Source organism: Homo sapiens, chromosome 2 (assembly GCF_000001405.40).
Source record: "Homo sapiens chromosome 2, GRCh38.p14 Primary Assembly".
Classification (NCBI taxonomy): Eukaryota; Metazoa; Chordata; class Mammalia; order Primates; family Hominidae; genus Homo; species Homo sapiens.
Window position 1 is genome coordinate 8,955,975 of NC_000002.12, and position 17,029 is coordinate 8,973,003.

The 17,029-nt window shown below is 38.7% G+C and overlaps 1 protein-coding gene across 13 annotated transcripts in view; it reads right to left on the bottom strand.

The window, feature by feature from the left end:
* Nucleotides 1–17,029, bottom strand: part of MBOAT2 (membrane bound glycerophospholipid O-acyltransferase 2) — a 150,995-nt gene that overhangs the window by 103,285 nt on the left and 30,681 nt on the right. For 8 of the 13 annotated variants that reach the window (NR_135602.2, NR_135606.2, NR_135598.2 and 5 more), the window contains one exon: nucleotides 2,523–2,668. The exons of the other annotated variants lie outside the window; for them this stretch is intronic. Coding sequence is in view for 1 of the 8 variants with exons in the window: in NM_138799.4 (NP_620154.2) it covers nucleotides 2,523–2,668 (146 nt within the window). In the remaining 7 variants the exon portion in view is untranslated. The remainder of the gene's footprint in view (nucleotides 1–2,522; nucleotides 2,669–17,029) is intronic. 13 annotated transcript variants of the gene reach the window in all.

Below are 17,029 nucleotides of genomic sequence, written 5' to 3' on the forward strand. Positions count from 1 at the left end.
TGTACATTGTTTTTTTAGACATAATTATATTGCATACTTAATAGACCAGAATATAGGGTAAATATAACTTTTAAATGCACTGGGAAACCAAAAAAATTTGTGTGACTTGCTTTATTACAATATTCACTGTATTATGGGGGTCTAGAATCAAATCTGTAACATCTCTGAGGCATGCCTGTATATTTACAGAGTACTAACATGTTTTCCAAAAGGGAAGTTGTCAAAATCAATAGCAGATACGATTGCCTTTGAGCCTACAAAAGAAAGTACTGAAATGCAAATCAAAAGAATATATCCCTATTAGTTAATTCCAGTTAGCAAAGAGTTATCTTACACATGGTACAGAGGCATAAACAATCCGTCTTTCCAAAGAAAGAATACAGAAAGCTTTCTCCTTTAAGAAAAAAATAGAGAACTCATTTGAAAAATAAAAATAAAAATCCTGGCTGGGCACAGTGGCTCATACCTGTAATCCCAACACTTTGGGAAGTCGAGCTGGGCAGACTGCTTGAGTCTGGGAGTTCAACACCAGTTTGGACAACATAGCAAAACTCCACCTCTACAAAAAATTAGCCGGGTGTGGTGGCACACACCTGTAATCCCAGCTGCCCAGGAGGCTGAGGTGGGAGGATCAATCACCTGAGCCCAGGAGGTTGAGACTGCAGTGAGCTGTGATCATGTCACTGCACTCCAGCATGGGCAACAAAGTGAGACCTTGTCTTAAAAAATTGAAAAAATAAGAAATCCTGGTTATCACATATAATTTGAAGTACTTCAGACTACCTGACATTAACAATGTCGGGTTACTTGTGACATTGTGTTATAAGGCATCCAAGAAGACTTCACAGCAAGAGAACACTTCCTCAGTAAAAGATTTCTAGGTAAAGAGATGCCTCCTCATCTTTGGCAGTACCTCCATGTTACACAACTGTAGGAGATATTGTTTATATTTTTATCTTCTACTCTGTCTCCATAGACCACAGAGTGAATGGTGTCCCCTGGAGTTGGCCAATATGAACTACAAGCCCTTCCCAATGCATTATGAAAATATGCTACACAAATATATACTGAATATCAAAGTTATTTGTGGATGAAATGTATAGACTGGGATATACTTTAAAATACTCTACAAAAATAAGTTGGAGAAAGGATAAAACAAGAATGGTGGAATTTTAATAATCTGAAGCTGAGTGATGGGCATATGAGGGCTCACTATATTGTTCTTTGTACCTTTGTGTTTGAAAAGCGCCATAATCAAAAGTTTGAAAAATATACACTACTCCATGGCATGATTTATGAAAAGTTTAAATAGTATCACCTGAGAAACCTTAAAAAACTGTGATGATATAAATGTGATGTCAATGAAGCAAAAAAGACCAGACTTGGGTCTTATTTAAGAGGTCATATTTAAATCTCAATACTAACCACTATCTACCAGGGCAGTACCTAGCACAGGTAATATGGTAGAGACTGAATAAATTATCCCTAATTAATTTTTCATGAGTTTCTAGGAAACACTTGCAATTGCCACAGGCAAAAATTAGATTAAGAAATATCAGTGTATTCCAATCCTCATAACTATCAAAAACAACATCCTAGAACAAACACAGAAGCTCATCAAAGTCCCAGAGATTCTACACCCCACAGACCAAGTGAGTGCATTTTCAACCTCTCAGGGAATTCTGATATCAAACAACAATCTGCAGAAGAGCAAGCCTAGAAGTCCTTCACTGTGAATGGCGAACACTACAGCAGATGAGCATGCAGCACAAGTGCTCACGTAAGAAAGCAAGCTCAGGAAGAGACCACAAAGAGACTGCCGCTGAGAGTTTCTGCTGTTTTGCCAAGACAATGTGCCCTTCTGATTTCTTCAGCATGCACAGCTAACATTTGTTTGTTACTTCCTGTAACAAACAGGAAGTACAGTATTTCTGTATTTAAGGCTCTCGGAGTATCCCTGAGGATTGAGAAAGAGACCTAATGAAAGAAAACACCAACATCCATTTGAAAAGTCAGAAATAAAAGCTTTCCATCATAAATAATTCTTCCCCAGGAAGAACAGACAAATGAACAAACAAAAAGCCTCTTTTTGGTAATGGCAGAATCTAAAAAATGGCAATAAAGTTCTATCCATAGTCTTTATCAGGCTCTTAAAAGCTACTTGCCCAGAGAAAAAACAGGCAAACAAAAACACATTTAAATGGCTTTTCTGTCAGTATAAAAGATTTGCAAAATAGGTGTAAAGAACTACTCATGACAGAATCAAATGCCTTTATATCCTCTTCATCTGTCTTTCCACAAATTATAAATAGTAAATTTTCCTCTAAGACTAAAGAGAGAGCAAGCCCATTTCCCATTCGTTATTTTTTGTTTCAAAAATAAAAATATGAAAGTTGGCCTGGAGAAAAAACTTTTTAAGTAAATATAAGAACAAAACCCTACATAATGTATCTTTCCACACACTCAATTCTCAAATACATCCAAATAGTCTTCATTTTAAAAGGATCAAAATAATTACTTACCATCCAAAGCAAAAAAGTGCAAGATAAAGGCCCAAAAGGGTAGCAACTACATGTCTTATAAAAGAGCTAGTTTTGCTTGAATGTAGATAAGTTCGAAACCAAATGGCTGCTAGCAAGGCAAAGAGTTGGCACACTACAAAGTTGACCTGTAAAGAAAAATTAAAATTTTGTATTAGCAACACAGACCTGAATTTTTCATATCATGTTACATTGAAATTCTCAGGACAAAAACACCAAGGTTACACAAAAATTGACCTTCCAAGTTAACAAAACAAAAACAAAAATTGAGGGAAATCCCAAGGATGAGCCTCAAGTTCCAAGTGATGGGCCAATGCCCACCAATACTGTCTCTGCTAGACCTGGCAGGAGACAGGTGTGGCCACGTGGGGAGAGGTGTAGAAGGACACCTGGAAAAATCTGATTGACACTGGTCTGCAGACACAGAAACAAAAAGCCCAGGGCACCTATCGGTTAAAGGGAAGAGAAACGTGTTTTAATGACTGAGGGAACCCTGTAACCCGTGAAAAAGAGGAGCACTAAATTTCTTCGCAAAAGCTCTGGGAGGGGTCAATGTCCCCAAGTTCCCTGAGACTATAAGGGCACCAGGGCCTGGAGGATCTGGTGGGATGCAGGACAGTCTATGGCAATAGGAGTAAAGGGGAATCTACTGCGGCCTAAACATCACCACTGTAGCTGAGCTCTGAGGCATCTCAAGGATTGGCTCCCAAGGGGAAGGAATGAATTAGATAAGGGACAAAGCAGCCTTCGAAAAGCTCAAGTCCACCAACCTCAATTTTTAAATTTCCTTATAGTTCACTAGGAACTAAACTGTTCTTGACTTATAGAAGTGAAATACACTCTGGTAAGACTGCTGCTGCTCTTTTCCCTCCAAATAAAAAGACTGAAAATAAGAATCTCTCATGGTATGTAAAGATAGACTGGAGAAAAATCTCCATTTCCTTTTTTTCTTTTTTTTTTTTTTTAAGACAGGGTCTTGCTCTGTGGCCCAGGCTGGACTGCAGTGGTGAAATCACAGCTCACTGCAGCCTCTACCTCCCGGGCTCGGGCAATTCTCCCACCTCAGCCTTCCAAGTAGCTGGGACTACAGGCACACACCACCATGCCGAGCTAATCTGTGCATTTTTTTGTAAAGACAAAGTGTCACTATGTTGCTCAAGCTGGTCTTGAACTCCTGGGCTCAAACAATCTGCCTGCCTCTGCCTCCCAAAGTGCTGGGATAATAGGCATGAACAATCACACCTGGCCAAAATCTCCATTTCTCCCTTATGAAACATATTCTCATAGAATCTTAGGAATAATAGGCCTTAAAGTCTATAAATAAAGGAAAAAATCCATTGACATTAGGAACCTGCAAAAAAAATACATAACAAAACAATCAGTGTTTCAGGCACCTAAATTGTGAACAAATCACACTATCTACATGTAGCTATTTCCATAGACCCATAGAAATATCTCTGCCTAAAGACACAGACAAGTATGTTCTCTTTCTCACATATCAAGGAGAAAAACAGTAGAACGTTGTTGTACACTGTCTAAGAAACAATTGTTCTTTAAAACAGACTCAATAAAAGCAAAATGTCTTTCCAAAAGGTTCTAATACTTCCTGCCTTCTAAAGGGTTCTAATGGCATTTTTTTTAATTAAGCAAAAAGTGAATAGAATGGAAAAATTTGTGTTCTTCATATTAACTACTCACATCTACATGGCTTCTTACAGTTTAAAACTTTGTTTCAAGTATCTCTTATTTCTTTCTTTTTCAGATAGCTCCTAATTTAATTATTATAACAAAAATTTACTGAGCATCTACTATGGGCAAACATGGGAAATCTAAACATGCATGAGTCCCAGTCCTAGCTCAGGATGACTTTAGAACCTAATGGAAAACATAAACATATACAGAAGGAACGTCAACCCAACATCAGAGTCTTTTTAATGGTTATATAGAACATCCTTCAAGACACCACAGAAGAGCACGCCTGAAGGGGTGCCTGCCACAAAGGATGTGAGGGGTAAGCAGGGCGGGCAGCATTTCCCAATCCCGCTGATCTCCACAACCATAGGAGGGGGCAGCTTCCCTTCCCCCATTCCATATCAGTCTATTCATACATTACAAGACAAAGTATGATTCCTTCCAAGAAAGAGTATGTCAAGGACCACACACATACAGGATTTTACAGAATCTTTGAAATCATCTCTTTTCAACATTGTCATCGTTCAGATAAAGAAAATGAGATCAGGCCTCACACTGGACACTGAATCAAAGTCTTTGGGGAGATAGGCCCAAAAATATGTATAAAAAATAAAATGGAAACACAGGTTCTTATGATCCTCAAGGTGTGAGAAGCACTCTGTTGGACAATAAGGGAAAGGGCATTGTAAGGAAGAAAACAACATGAAGGAAGCACTTGGACATGAAAGCGCAAACGCACCGCGTGGCCAGGGATCATGGGAGATGAGGCTGGAAGCAGGGTGGTTCAGAAGTGAGGGCTTTGTATGCCACACCACGGCGTTTGAGCCCATAGTGATGACAAAACCATGGAAGATTTTTAAAACAAGGAAGTGATGAGATTGACCCTCCACCTCTACATATCCAGAACTCTTGGATACCCATGAGAAACTATGAACCACTCAATAGAAAACTGGGCAAAAGGAATGAACAATTTACAAATATCAATGTCCAATAAAATCTGAAAAATATTCTCTCTCAACCATAAGTAACGAAGTGTGAAATAAACCATCAGTGAGGCACTATCTTCCGCCTCTCAGTGCTGCTGGGGACATGAGAAAGCTGGTGCTCTACACTGTTAATCTGACTGTAACTTGGGGCAGCTCTTTAAAGAAAATTGGACAATGGCCACCAAAACTTAAAACATAATATCCTTTACCAAGAAACTGAACATTTACAACTTTACCCCAGATAAAGTGCACAAAAGCACAAGAGGCTTAGGCACACATGAAGATCCACTACACACTGTCAGAGCACACATGCACAGGGCCATCCACAGGGGACTGTTACACAAATAGAGCATTTCACATCTACAGAGAAGCAGCATTTCCATTTCCCATCAGTAGGGAAAAAAAAAAAGCTAGATATTTCCCATCAGTAGGAAAAACAAACCTAGATTATCCAATTAATGTAACTGGGGTAACTGGTTTTCCTTTTGGTAAAAACCAAGTTACACTCCTGTTTCATAAGCCACGTTGTTAATATTAATCGTGTGCTTATGTGGCAGGTATGAGTACACACCCCTCAAATCTCCACCCGCAGGGGGCATAATTGACCAAGAGCATCATCTGCAGCACACTTGATACCCATCACCAGGCTCATGCCAAGGCCATGCTGGGACCTCCTTAGAACTTCACTTCTCCACAGCCAGGCTCCCTGCCCAGATTCATGCCAAGGCCATACTCCCTACAGCCTGTGCCTCCCCCTGCCCAGCCTTCCTTCCTTCCCCCTCTCCTCCAGAGGGGACTGTCCTGCAGTCCGCAGCTCTCCCTTCTGCCAGCTCCCCAGAGCACTGTCTCATAGACAACTTCCCCAGCTCATCACTTGCTCATCTAATTGCTCCTTGGCACCTGCTCCTCAGAGGACCCAAGCTGACACAACACTCTAAGCACCTTACATTTATAATCTATTTAATCTTCACAATAACCCTATGAGGAGAACTCTACTATTATCTCCATTTACCGAGACTGAAACAGTTTAACTAGTGTAACTCGTTACAAATCAGGTAGTCTAGATCTAGAATTTGAATTCCTGACCACTGCATTATACTGCCTACCACATTTAAAAACAAACCCCAAACAGAATAATGGTCCATAAACAACTGTGATGGTCTTTAGTACCAGTCACCTATATCTGATTCTCTTCTCCTTCTGGGTAGACAGAGGATGTATTTCCTAGTCCCTTGTGGGGACGAGTTTTGGTTGGTGAATTGTTAGCAGAAGTGATGTGTGTTGCTTCTCGGCCAGAACACTTAACTGCCAGAACAAGAATCTTCAGAGTTGTTCTATCTGCAATGTTCCAGAAATGCTGAGGTGCAAATTACCCTGCCAGTCCATGAGTGGGCAAGTAGCAAGAGGGACCTTTGGTGGTTTGAGCCTGTGAGATTTGGAGATAGTTTATTACTGCAGCATAACCTAGCTATGAAAACTAAAACTATATATATATATATCCTAGACAAGAATGTAAGAGATTATAATCTTATGTGATATAACAATAATTTAATATAAATTTTATATATTGAATGGATTTACTCATAAAAATTAAAAACTTCTACAAAACAACAACAACAAAAAAACTAAAAACATCCTAAGTAACAATGTGGAAGGAAAAAGAACCTATATACACACATGGGATATGTAACAAAGAGTTAGTATTCAAAAGGTAGAAAGAACTCCTAAACGCCAGTAGGAGAAAGATAAACATCAGTTCAAAGATCAGGGCCGAGCGAGGTGGCTCCTACCTACAATCCCAACACTTTGGGAGGCCAAGACAGGAAGATCACTTGAATCCAGGAGTTTGAGCCTGGGCAACATGGTGAAACCCCATCTCTACAAAAAAATACAAAAATTAGCTGGGCATGGTGGTGCACACCAGTAGTCCCAGCTACTGGGGAGGTGAGGTGGAAGGATTGCTTGAGCCTTGGAGGTCAAGGTTGCAGTGAGCTGTGATCACGCCACTGCATTCCAGCCTAGGCAACAGAGTGAGAGCCTGTCTCAAAAAAAAAAAATTGAGGCGGGGGGGCAGGGGGAGGGAAAAAACTAACCCGAAAGTCACAAAAAGAAACTAATTTTTTTTTCTTTGAGACAATTTTGCTCTTGTTGCCCAGGCTAGAGTGCAGTGGCACGATCTCAGCTCACTGTAACCTCTGCCTCCCGGGTTCAAGTGATTCTCCTGCCTCAGCCTCCCAAGCAGCTGGGATTACAGGCATGCACTACCACGCCCGGCTAATTTTTGTATTTTTAGTAGAGATGGGGTTTCTCCATGTTGGTCAGGCGGTCTTGAACTTCTGACCTCAAGTGATCCACCCGCCTTGGCCTCCCAAAGTGCTGGGATTATAGGCATGAGCCACCACACCCAACCTGAAACTAAAAATTAAAATTAGATTTTTTAAAATGTGGTGAAAATAATTATATAAATCTGTATATTTTGATATGGAAGATTACCAAGAAATACTAGTAAGTGAAAGTTACGAGTTGTAGAAGAAAAATCCAAACTATGTATATACATTCATTTATTAAATATGCATTTATTCTGTAATTATGAGCCTACTATGCTTTTACTATGTGCTAGACATTAATATAGTGTCCATATAGTCCATTTATATATACCATACTTCACTAACTGTAGGTGCTCAGTAGATACCAGATGTGTGCCAGGCAGTGCAGCGCACTGTGCTTTACAAGAAGGGGTTCATGTAATAATCACAGCCACCTTGCACAACCAGGTACCCTTACTCCAGAGCCCATGCTATTCTACTTCCATATGCACAGGCCCAGAAACACTAGACACTAAACCATTAGATGCTGTCACCTCTAGGAAGGAGGTAATGGAGAACGACAGGGACTTGAAATATTCCAGTATTTCTAATACTACACGTACAATGAAGCCTCCTGTGCAAACCCCTCCTCTGGCCCTATTCCTTCCACCCCTCCCACAAAGAGTAACTACCAGCCTTAAGTTTGCTGCAGTATTCTCGTGCATATTTTTATACTTTTGCTACTTGTGTATTTTACATATTGTATTGCTTTGAATATTTTAAACTAAAAATGGTGTAAAACTGAGCGTAAGCTTCTGCAATTTTTTTCACTTAATATTACATTGCTGACATTTATCTATGTTGATACACATGGCTCTACCTTATTTACTCATCTTGTGTATTATATTTCATTGTGTTAATACCCAGAGTAGAACCTCCAAGTCAAGCAACATCCACTTGACTAATTTACATATTGCATTGCTTTGAATATTTTAAACTAAAAATGGTGTAAAACTGAACGTAAGCTTCTGCAATTTTTTTCACTTAATATTACATTGCTGACATTTATCTATGTTGATACACATGGCTCTACCTTATTTACTCATCTTGTGTATTATATTTCATTGTGTTAATACCCAGAGTAGAACCTCCAAGTCAAGCAACATCCACTTGACTAAGTATTGCTAAATTGCTCTCCTAATTATTTATCAGCAATGTGAGTTCCACTGCTCCATATTCTTGACAACACTTGGTACTGTCAGACTACTAATTTTTGCCAAGCTAATAAATATAAAACATTATTTCTCTATTTTTTAAATGTGTATTTCTCCTGATTACTAGCCAGGATGAACATTTTTCTTATGTCTATTGGACATTTAGTTTTCCCTTTATATCCTTTGCCCATTATTCTATCAGCTTGTCTTTTTCTCATTGACTTCTTTAAAAAGAATTCTTTATATATCTGAAACTGATCTTTTGCAAATAGCATCTCTCTCAGTCTACAGCTTAGTCTTGTATCTTTGTTTATGGTGTCTTTTCCAATAGTGATTTCCTTTACAGTCTGTGAGCTCTTTAGCTTTTTATTTTTGCAGTATACATACAACTGTATTACACGAATACATGGACACGCATCAATGTACTTCTTGGTTTAGTTTTTTTAAAAAACAGAAAATAGTTCAAGTGTAATTATATCATTGAGTAAGAGAAACCAGGAATTCTGAATTTTCCACTTACGGCATTAAAACATTTATCTATACCTATTTCCTACTTAAACCAAATACCTTAGCGCTCCCAGTGCTAACATTTTCCATTCCTGTGTAATAAATTTTATTACATTTCACGAAACCTAAGGTATCCTCAATGCTCATGTGAGATCAGTGTTATCTCTACTTTAAAAGGAAACAGCAAGTACAGCAGATGTGGGACCTCAACCTCTGCGATCTCCATCTTACACTTTTTTCCTTTTAGTTCCAAAGTTGAACCTGATCTTATCATTTTTAAATTTTTACTAAGGGTGCTTACACTTTAATTAACATGTGGTTAAAAAATACAAAAATGTTATCCACAAATTTACATTCTGTCTCCACAAAAGATTGTATATTTTCTCCAGCTTTATATGTATATTTTCTCCAGCTTTATATGCTTTAAATTTCCTCCCTCTTACTAGAACACGAGAAAGGAGTTTCTAGGGTATTTAAAATGCATATCAAACCATACACTTATATGTAATTGAGCAATCTTCTGAAAAGATCTGCACTGTTCAAATATGATAGCCACTAGCCACACGCCCATCAACTGCCACACGTGCCCAACAAAAGCTTGTTAATTATCTCCACATCAGAATTAAGCATTCTACACTAAGCCAAAAATTAACCTATAATAATTTTGGAGTAAAAAAACCTTAAATTTCAATATAGCGCAAAGTGATTACAATCTTCAACAAATCAATAAAAACAGCCCCAAAAAATCAATTGTTACATCCACATCTCTACTGATGGAATACAAAATATGTTCTAATTTTTAAAAATAACATTAACGGATTTTTGATAACATATTCTTAACCAGTCCCTCCCAAGGTGAACAGCCAGTCTTTGTGAGACCCTGCATTGATGGAAAGGGGAGTGAGGAGGCGTGAAGTATACAACCTGATGTGAAAGATCAAAGTGTATATCAAAGTTCAAAATGCGTAACAAACTATACACTTATTGCTGAGCAATTTTCTGAACAGATCTGCATTGTTCAATGCAATAGTCACTGGCCCCATGTGGCTATGAGCACTTATATGTGGTTATTCCAAATTGAGGTGTGTCTTGACTGCCAAATACTCACCAGACTAAGAAGACATAGTATAGACAGACAGAACAACCTTCAGTTTCAAGCGCCCTGTGCTGGAATCTTATCTGTGGAAGTTTAGCTGTGTAAAAATCATCTGACAGCTAGTTAGAAACAGATTATTGGATTCTAGCTCCGTAACTTTTTATTCCCCAGTCTGAAATGAGACCTTGAATTATTTTTTTTGTTTTTAATTTCCCAGGCAAAACTTACGTGCAGCTACGTTTGGAAAACAAGAGTCCTCATCAACCAACCTCGCAGCCAGTTAAGTAAAGATGATAGGGCCCAAAGGCAAAGGAAAGAACCATTTTTTACATCTTTATGAGATAAAACAAAGCCAAATACGACATCATTACACATCCACCAGATTGCCAAAAGTTTAGTGTCACAATACCAAATGCAGACTACAATGTAGAGCAATGGGATTTCTCATACGTGGTCAACAAGTGCTTTAGAAAAAAATTCAGTATTTTCTTACAGGATTGAAAATAGTCCTACCCATGACAGAGCACTCCAATACCCATGTGTCTAACATGGGGACTAGGAGAGGCATGTACAAGAATGTTCAATACAATGTTGTTCATAATAGCCAAATGCCAAGGAAAAATAAAACCTTTAACAGCAAAATGGCTAAATATATTCTGGTTTATCTGTACAATGGGAAATCACACAGAACAACGAAGATGAAGAAACTATAATTTCTAGAAGAATCCATACATCTCAAGTCAATTCAGAGGAATATATATACAACATATAAATGTACTTCACAAAAAGTTCCAAAAAGCAAGCAATAAACCATACTGTCTGGGAATGCCTACATAATTGACATGAAAATGACAATCACTGAAGTCACTGAAGTGTTTACGTATGAAGGGAGAGAACGGGTTATAATAGTGACAGACAACAAGGGATTTTGTGGGCTGGTAATGTTTCTACTTTTTGCCCAGGGTGGTTACACAGATACTGACTTTTAGTTTTTTATTAAACCTTATGTATTATTAACAGTAACACTATGTACTGTAATAAATAGACACAAAAAATATGTAATGGCTCTAATGAAACAGAGGTTCACAAAACTGTCCAAAGCAGATACCCTGCTCAAAGAGCTTCACTCGAATAAATGGAAACGCAAAACATTCTTGGATGGGAAGACTCGGAATCATAAAGATGTTACTTTCTCCCTATGTTAATCATTAAATTTAAGTCCATACAATAAAAATGTCAATAGGATTTTTAAAAAATAAAATTTGATTTTAAAACTAATATTGAAATATAAACATGTGAGATAGCCAGAAAATTTATGACCTTCCTTTCACAGACTAGAACACATTTTTTAGAACCTAGAATGATGAACAGACGAACAGACAGATCAGTGAAATATAACTAGAATTCCAGTGATAGATCCAAACACATAATGGGTATTCAGAATATGATAAAGATAATATCTGAAATATTTTGAGTATAACACAAACTTTGGAAACAATAAAAAAAATTAGATACAACTTCATCACATAAATATAAAAAATTCCTTCATGGGCAAAACACCATAAACAAAGTCAAAGGACAAACAACAAACTTAAAAGCAATAGTAGGCAGTTCCAAGATGGCCGAATAGGAACAGCTCCAGTCTACAGCTCCCAGAGTGAGTGACGCAGAAGACAGGTGATTTCTGCATTTCCAACTGAGCTCTGAAGAGAGTAGTGGTTCTTCGAGCACGGAGTTTGAGATCTGAGAACAGACAGACTGCCTCCTCAAGTGGGTCCCTGACCCCCGAGAAGCCTAACTGGGAGGCACCCCCCAGTAGGGGCAGACTGACACCTCACATGGCCAGGTATCCCTCTGAGACAAAGCTTCCAGAGGAACGATCAGGCAGCAACATTTGCTGTTCAGCAATATTTGCTGTTCTGCAGCCTCTGCTGCTAATACCCAGGAAAACAGGGTCTGGAGTGGACCTCCAGCAAACTCCAACAGACCTGCAGCTGAGGGTCCTGACTGTTAGAAGGAAAACTAACAAACAGAAAGGACATCCACACCAAAACCCCATCTGTATGTCACCATCATCAAAGACCAAAGGTAGATAAAACCACAAAGATGGGGAAAAAACAGAGCAGAAAAGCTGAAAATTCTAAAAATCAGAGTGTCTCTCCCCTTCCAAAGGAATGCAGCTCCTCGCCAGCAATGGAACAAAGCTGGATGGAGAATGACTTTGACGAGTTGAGAGAAGAAGGCTTCAGACGATCAAACTTCTCTGAGCTAAAGGAGGAAGTTTGAACCCATCACAAAGAAGCTAAAAACCTTGAAAAAAGATTAGACGAATGGCTAACTAGAATAACCAGTGTAGAGAAGTCCTTAAATGACCTGATGTAGCTGAAAACCATGGCATAAGAACTAGGTGATGAATGCACAAGCTTCAGTAGCCAATTCGAACAACTGGAAGAAAGGGTATCAGTGATTGAAGATCAAATGAATGAAATGAAGCGAGAAGAGAACTTTAGAGAAAAAAGAGTAAAAAGAAACGAAAAAAGCCTCCAAGAAATATGGGACTATGTGAAAAGACCAAATCTACGTCTGACTGGTGTACCTAAAAGTGACGGGGAGAATGGAACCAAGTGGAAAAACACTCTGCAGGATATTATCCAGAAGAACTTCCCCAACCTAGAAAGGCAGGCCAACATTCAAATTCAGGAAATACTGAGAATGCCACTCCTCGAGAAGTGCAACTCCAAGACACATAATTGTAAGATTCACCAAAGTTGAAATTAAGGAAAAAATGTTAAGGGCAGCCAGAGAGAAAGGTCGGGTTATCCACAAAGGGAAGCCCATCAGACTAACAGCGGATCTCTCGGCAGAAACTCTACAAGCCAGAAGAGAGTGGGGGCCAATATTCAACATTCTTAAAGAAAAGAATTTTCAACCCAGAATTTCATATCCAGCCAAACTAAGCTTCATAAGTGAAGGAGAAATAAAATACTTTACAGACAAGCAAATGCTGAGAGATTTTGTCACTACCAGGCCTGCCCTAAAAGAGCTCCTGAAGGAAGCACTAAACATGGAGAGGAACAACCAGTACTAGCCACTGCAAAAACATGCCAAATTGTAAAGACCATCGATGCTAGGAAGAAACTGCATTAACAAATGAGCAAAATAACCAGCTAACATCTTAATGACAGGATCAAATTCACACATAACAATATTAACTTTAAATGTAAATGGGCTAAATGCTCCATTTAAAAGACACAGACTGGCAAATTGGACAGAGTCAAGACCCACCAGTGTGCTGTATTCAGGAGACCCATCTCATGTGCAGAGACACACGTAGGCTCAAAATAAAGGGATGGAGGAAGATCTACCAAGCAAATGGAAAACAAAAAAAGGCAGGGCTTGCAATCCTAGTCTCTGATAAAACAGACTTTAAACCAACAAAGATCAAAAGAGACAAAGAAGGCCATTATATAATGGTAAAGGGATCAATTCAACAAGAAGAGCTAACTATCCTAAATATATATGCACCCAATACAGGAGCACCCAGATTCATAAAGCAAGTCCTTAGAGACCTACAAACAGACTTAGACTCACACACAATAATAATGGGAGACTTTAACACCCACTGTCAACATCAGACAGATCAACAAAACAGAAAGTTAACAAGGATATCCAGGAATTGAACTCAGCTCTGCACCAAGTGGACCTAATAGACATCTAACAGAACTCTCCACCCCAAATCAAAAGAATATACATTCTTCTCAGCACCACATCACACTTATTCCAAAATTGACCACATAGTTGGAAGTAAAGCACTCCTCAGCAAATGTAAAAGAACAGAAATTATAACAAACTGTCTCTCAGACCACAGTGCAATCAAACTACAACTCAGCATTAAGAAACTCACTCAAAACCACTAAACTACATGGAAACTGAACAACCTGCTCCTGAATGATTACTGGGTACATAACGAAATGAAGGCAGAAATAAAGATGTTCTTTGAAACCAATGAGAACAAAGACACAACATACCAGAATCTCTGGGACACATTCAAAGCAGTGTGTAGAAGGAAATTTATAGCACTAAATGCCCACAAGAGAAAGCAGGAAAGATCTAAAATTGACACCCTAACATCACAATTAAAAGAACTAGAGAAGCAAGAGCAAACAATCTGAAAAGCTAGCAGAAGGCAACAAATAACTAAGATCAGAGCAGAACTGAAGGAGATAGAGACACAAACAACCCTTCAAAAAAAATCAATGAATCCAGCAGCTGGTTTTTTGGAAGATCAACAAAGTTGATAGACCACTAGCAAGACTAATAAAGAAGAAATGAGAGAAGAATCAAACAGACACAATAAAAAATGATAAAGGGGATATCACCACCGATCCCACAGAAATACAAACTACCATCAGAGAATACTATAAACACCTCTACACAAATAAACTAGAAAATCTAGAAGAAATGGATGAATTCCTCGACACATACACCCTCCCAAGACTAAACTAGGAAGAAGTTGAATCTCTGAATAGACCAATAACAGGTTCTGAAATTGGGGCAATAATTAATGGCTTACCAACCAAAAAAAGTCCAGACACATTCACAGCCAATTTCTACCGGAGGTACAAGGAGGAACTGGTACCATTCCTTCTGAAACTATTCCAATCAATAGAAAAAGAGGGAATCCTCCCTAACTCATTTTATGAGGCCAGGATCATCCTGATACCAAAGCCTGGCAGAGACACAAGAAAAAAAGAGACTTTTAGACCAATATCCCTGATGAACGTCGATGCAAAAATCCTCAGTAAAATACTGGCAAACCGAATCCAGCAGCACACCAAAAAGCTTATCCACCATGATCAAGTGGGCTTCAACCCTGGGATGCAAGGCTGGTTTAACATATGCAAATCAATAAACATAATCCAGCACATAAACAGAACCAACGACAAAAACCACATGATTATCTCAACAGATGCAGAAAAGGCCTTTGACAAAATTCAACAGCCCTTCGTGCTAAAAACTCTCAATAAATTAGGTACTGATGGGACGTATCTCAAAATAATAAGAGCTATTTATGACAAACCCACAGCCAATTTCATACTGAATGGACAAAAACTGGAAACATTCCCTTTGAAAACTGGCACAAAACAGGGATGCCCTGTCTCACCACTCCTATTCAACACAGTGTTGGAAGTTCTGGCCAGGGCAATCAGGCAGGAGAAAGAAATAAAGGGTATTCAGTTAGGAAAAGAGGAAGTCAAATTGTCCCTGTTTGCAGATAACATAATTGTATATTTAGAAAACCCCATCGTCTCAGCCCAAAATCTCCTTAAGCTGATAAGCAACTTCAGCAAAGTCTCAGGATACAAAATCAATGTGCAAAAATCACGAGCATTCCTATACACCAATAACAGACAAACAGAGAGCCAAATCATGAGTGAACTCCCATTCACAATTGCTTCAAAGAGAATAAAGTACCTAGGAATCCAACTTACAAGGGATGTGAAGGACCTCTTCAAGGAGAACTACAAACCACTGCTCAACGAAATAAAAGAGGATACCAACAAATGGAAGAACATTCCATGCTCATGGGTAGGAAGAATCAATATTGTGAAAATGGCCATACTGCCCAAGGTAATTTATAGATTCAATGCCGTCCCCATCAAGCTACCAATGACTTTCTTCACAGAATTGGAAAAAACTACTTTAAAGTTCATATGGAACCAAAAAAGAGCCCACATAGCCAAGACAATCCTAAGCCAAAAGAATAAAGCTGGAGGCATCACGCTACCTGACTTCAAACTATACTAGAAGGCTACAGTAACCAAAACAGCATAGTACTGGTACCAAAACAGAGATATAGACCAATGGAACAGAACAGAGCCCTCAGAAATAATACCACACATCTACAACCATCTGATCTTTGACAAACCTGACAAAAACAAGAAATGCGGAAAGGATTCCCTATTTAATAAATGGTGCTGGAAAAACTGGCTAGCCATATGTAGAAAGCTGAAACTGGATCTCTTCCTTACACCTTATACAAAAATTAATTCAAGATGGATTAAAGACTTAAATGTTAGACCGAAAACCATAAAAACCCTAGAAGAAAACCTAGGCAATACCATTCAGGACATAGGCATGGGCAAGGACTTCATGTCTAAAACACCAAAAGCAGTGGCAACAAAAGCCAAAATTGACAAATGGGATCTAAATAAACTAAAGAGCTTCTGCACAGCAAAAGAAACTACCATCAGAGTGAACAGGCAACCTACAGGATGGGAGAAAATTTTTGCAATCTACTCACCTGACAAAGGGCTAATATCCAGAATCTACAAAGAACTCAAACAAATTTACAAGAAAAAAACAAACAACCCCATCAAAAAGTGGGCGAAGGACATGAACAGACACTTCTCAAAAGAAGACATTTATGCAGCCAACAGACACATGAAAAAATGCTCATCATCACTGGCCATCAGAGAAATGCAAATCAAAACCACAATGAGATACCATCTCACACCAGTTAGAATGGCAATCATTAAAAAGTCAGGAAACAACAGGTGCTGGAGAGGATGTGGAGAAACAGGAACACTTTTACACTGTTGATGGGACTGTAAACTGGTTCAACCATTGTGGAAGACAATGTGACGATTCCTCAAGGATCTCGAACTAGAAATACCATTTGACCCAG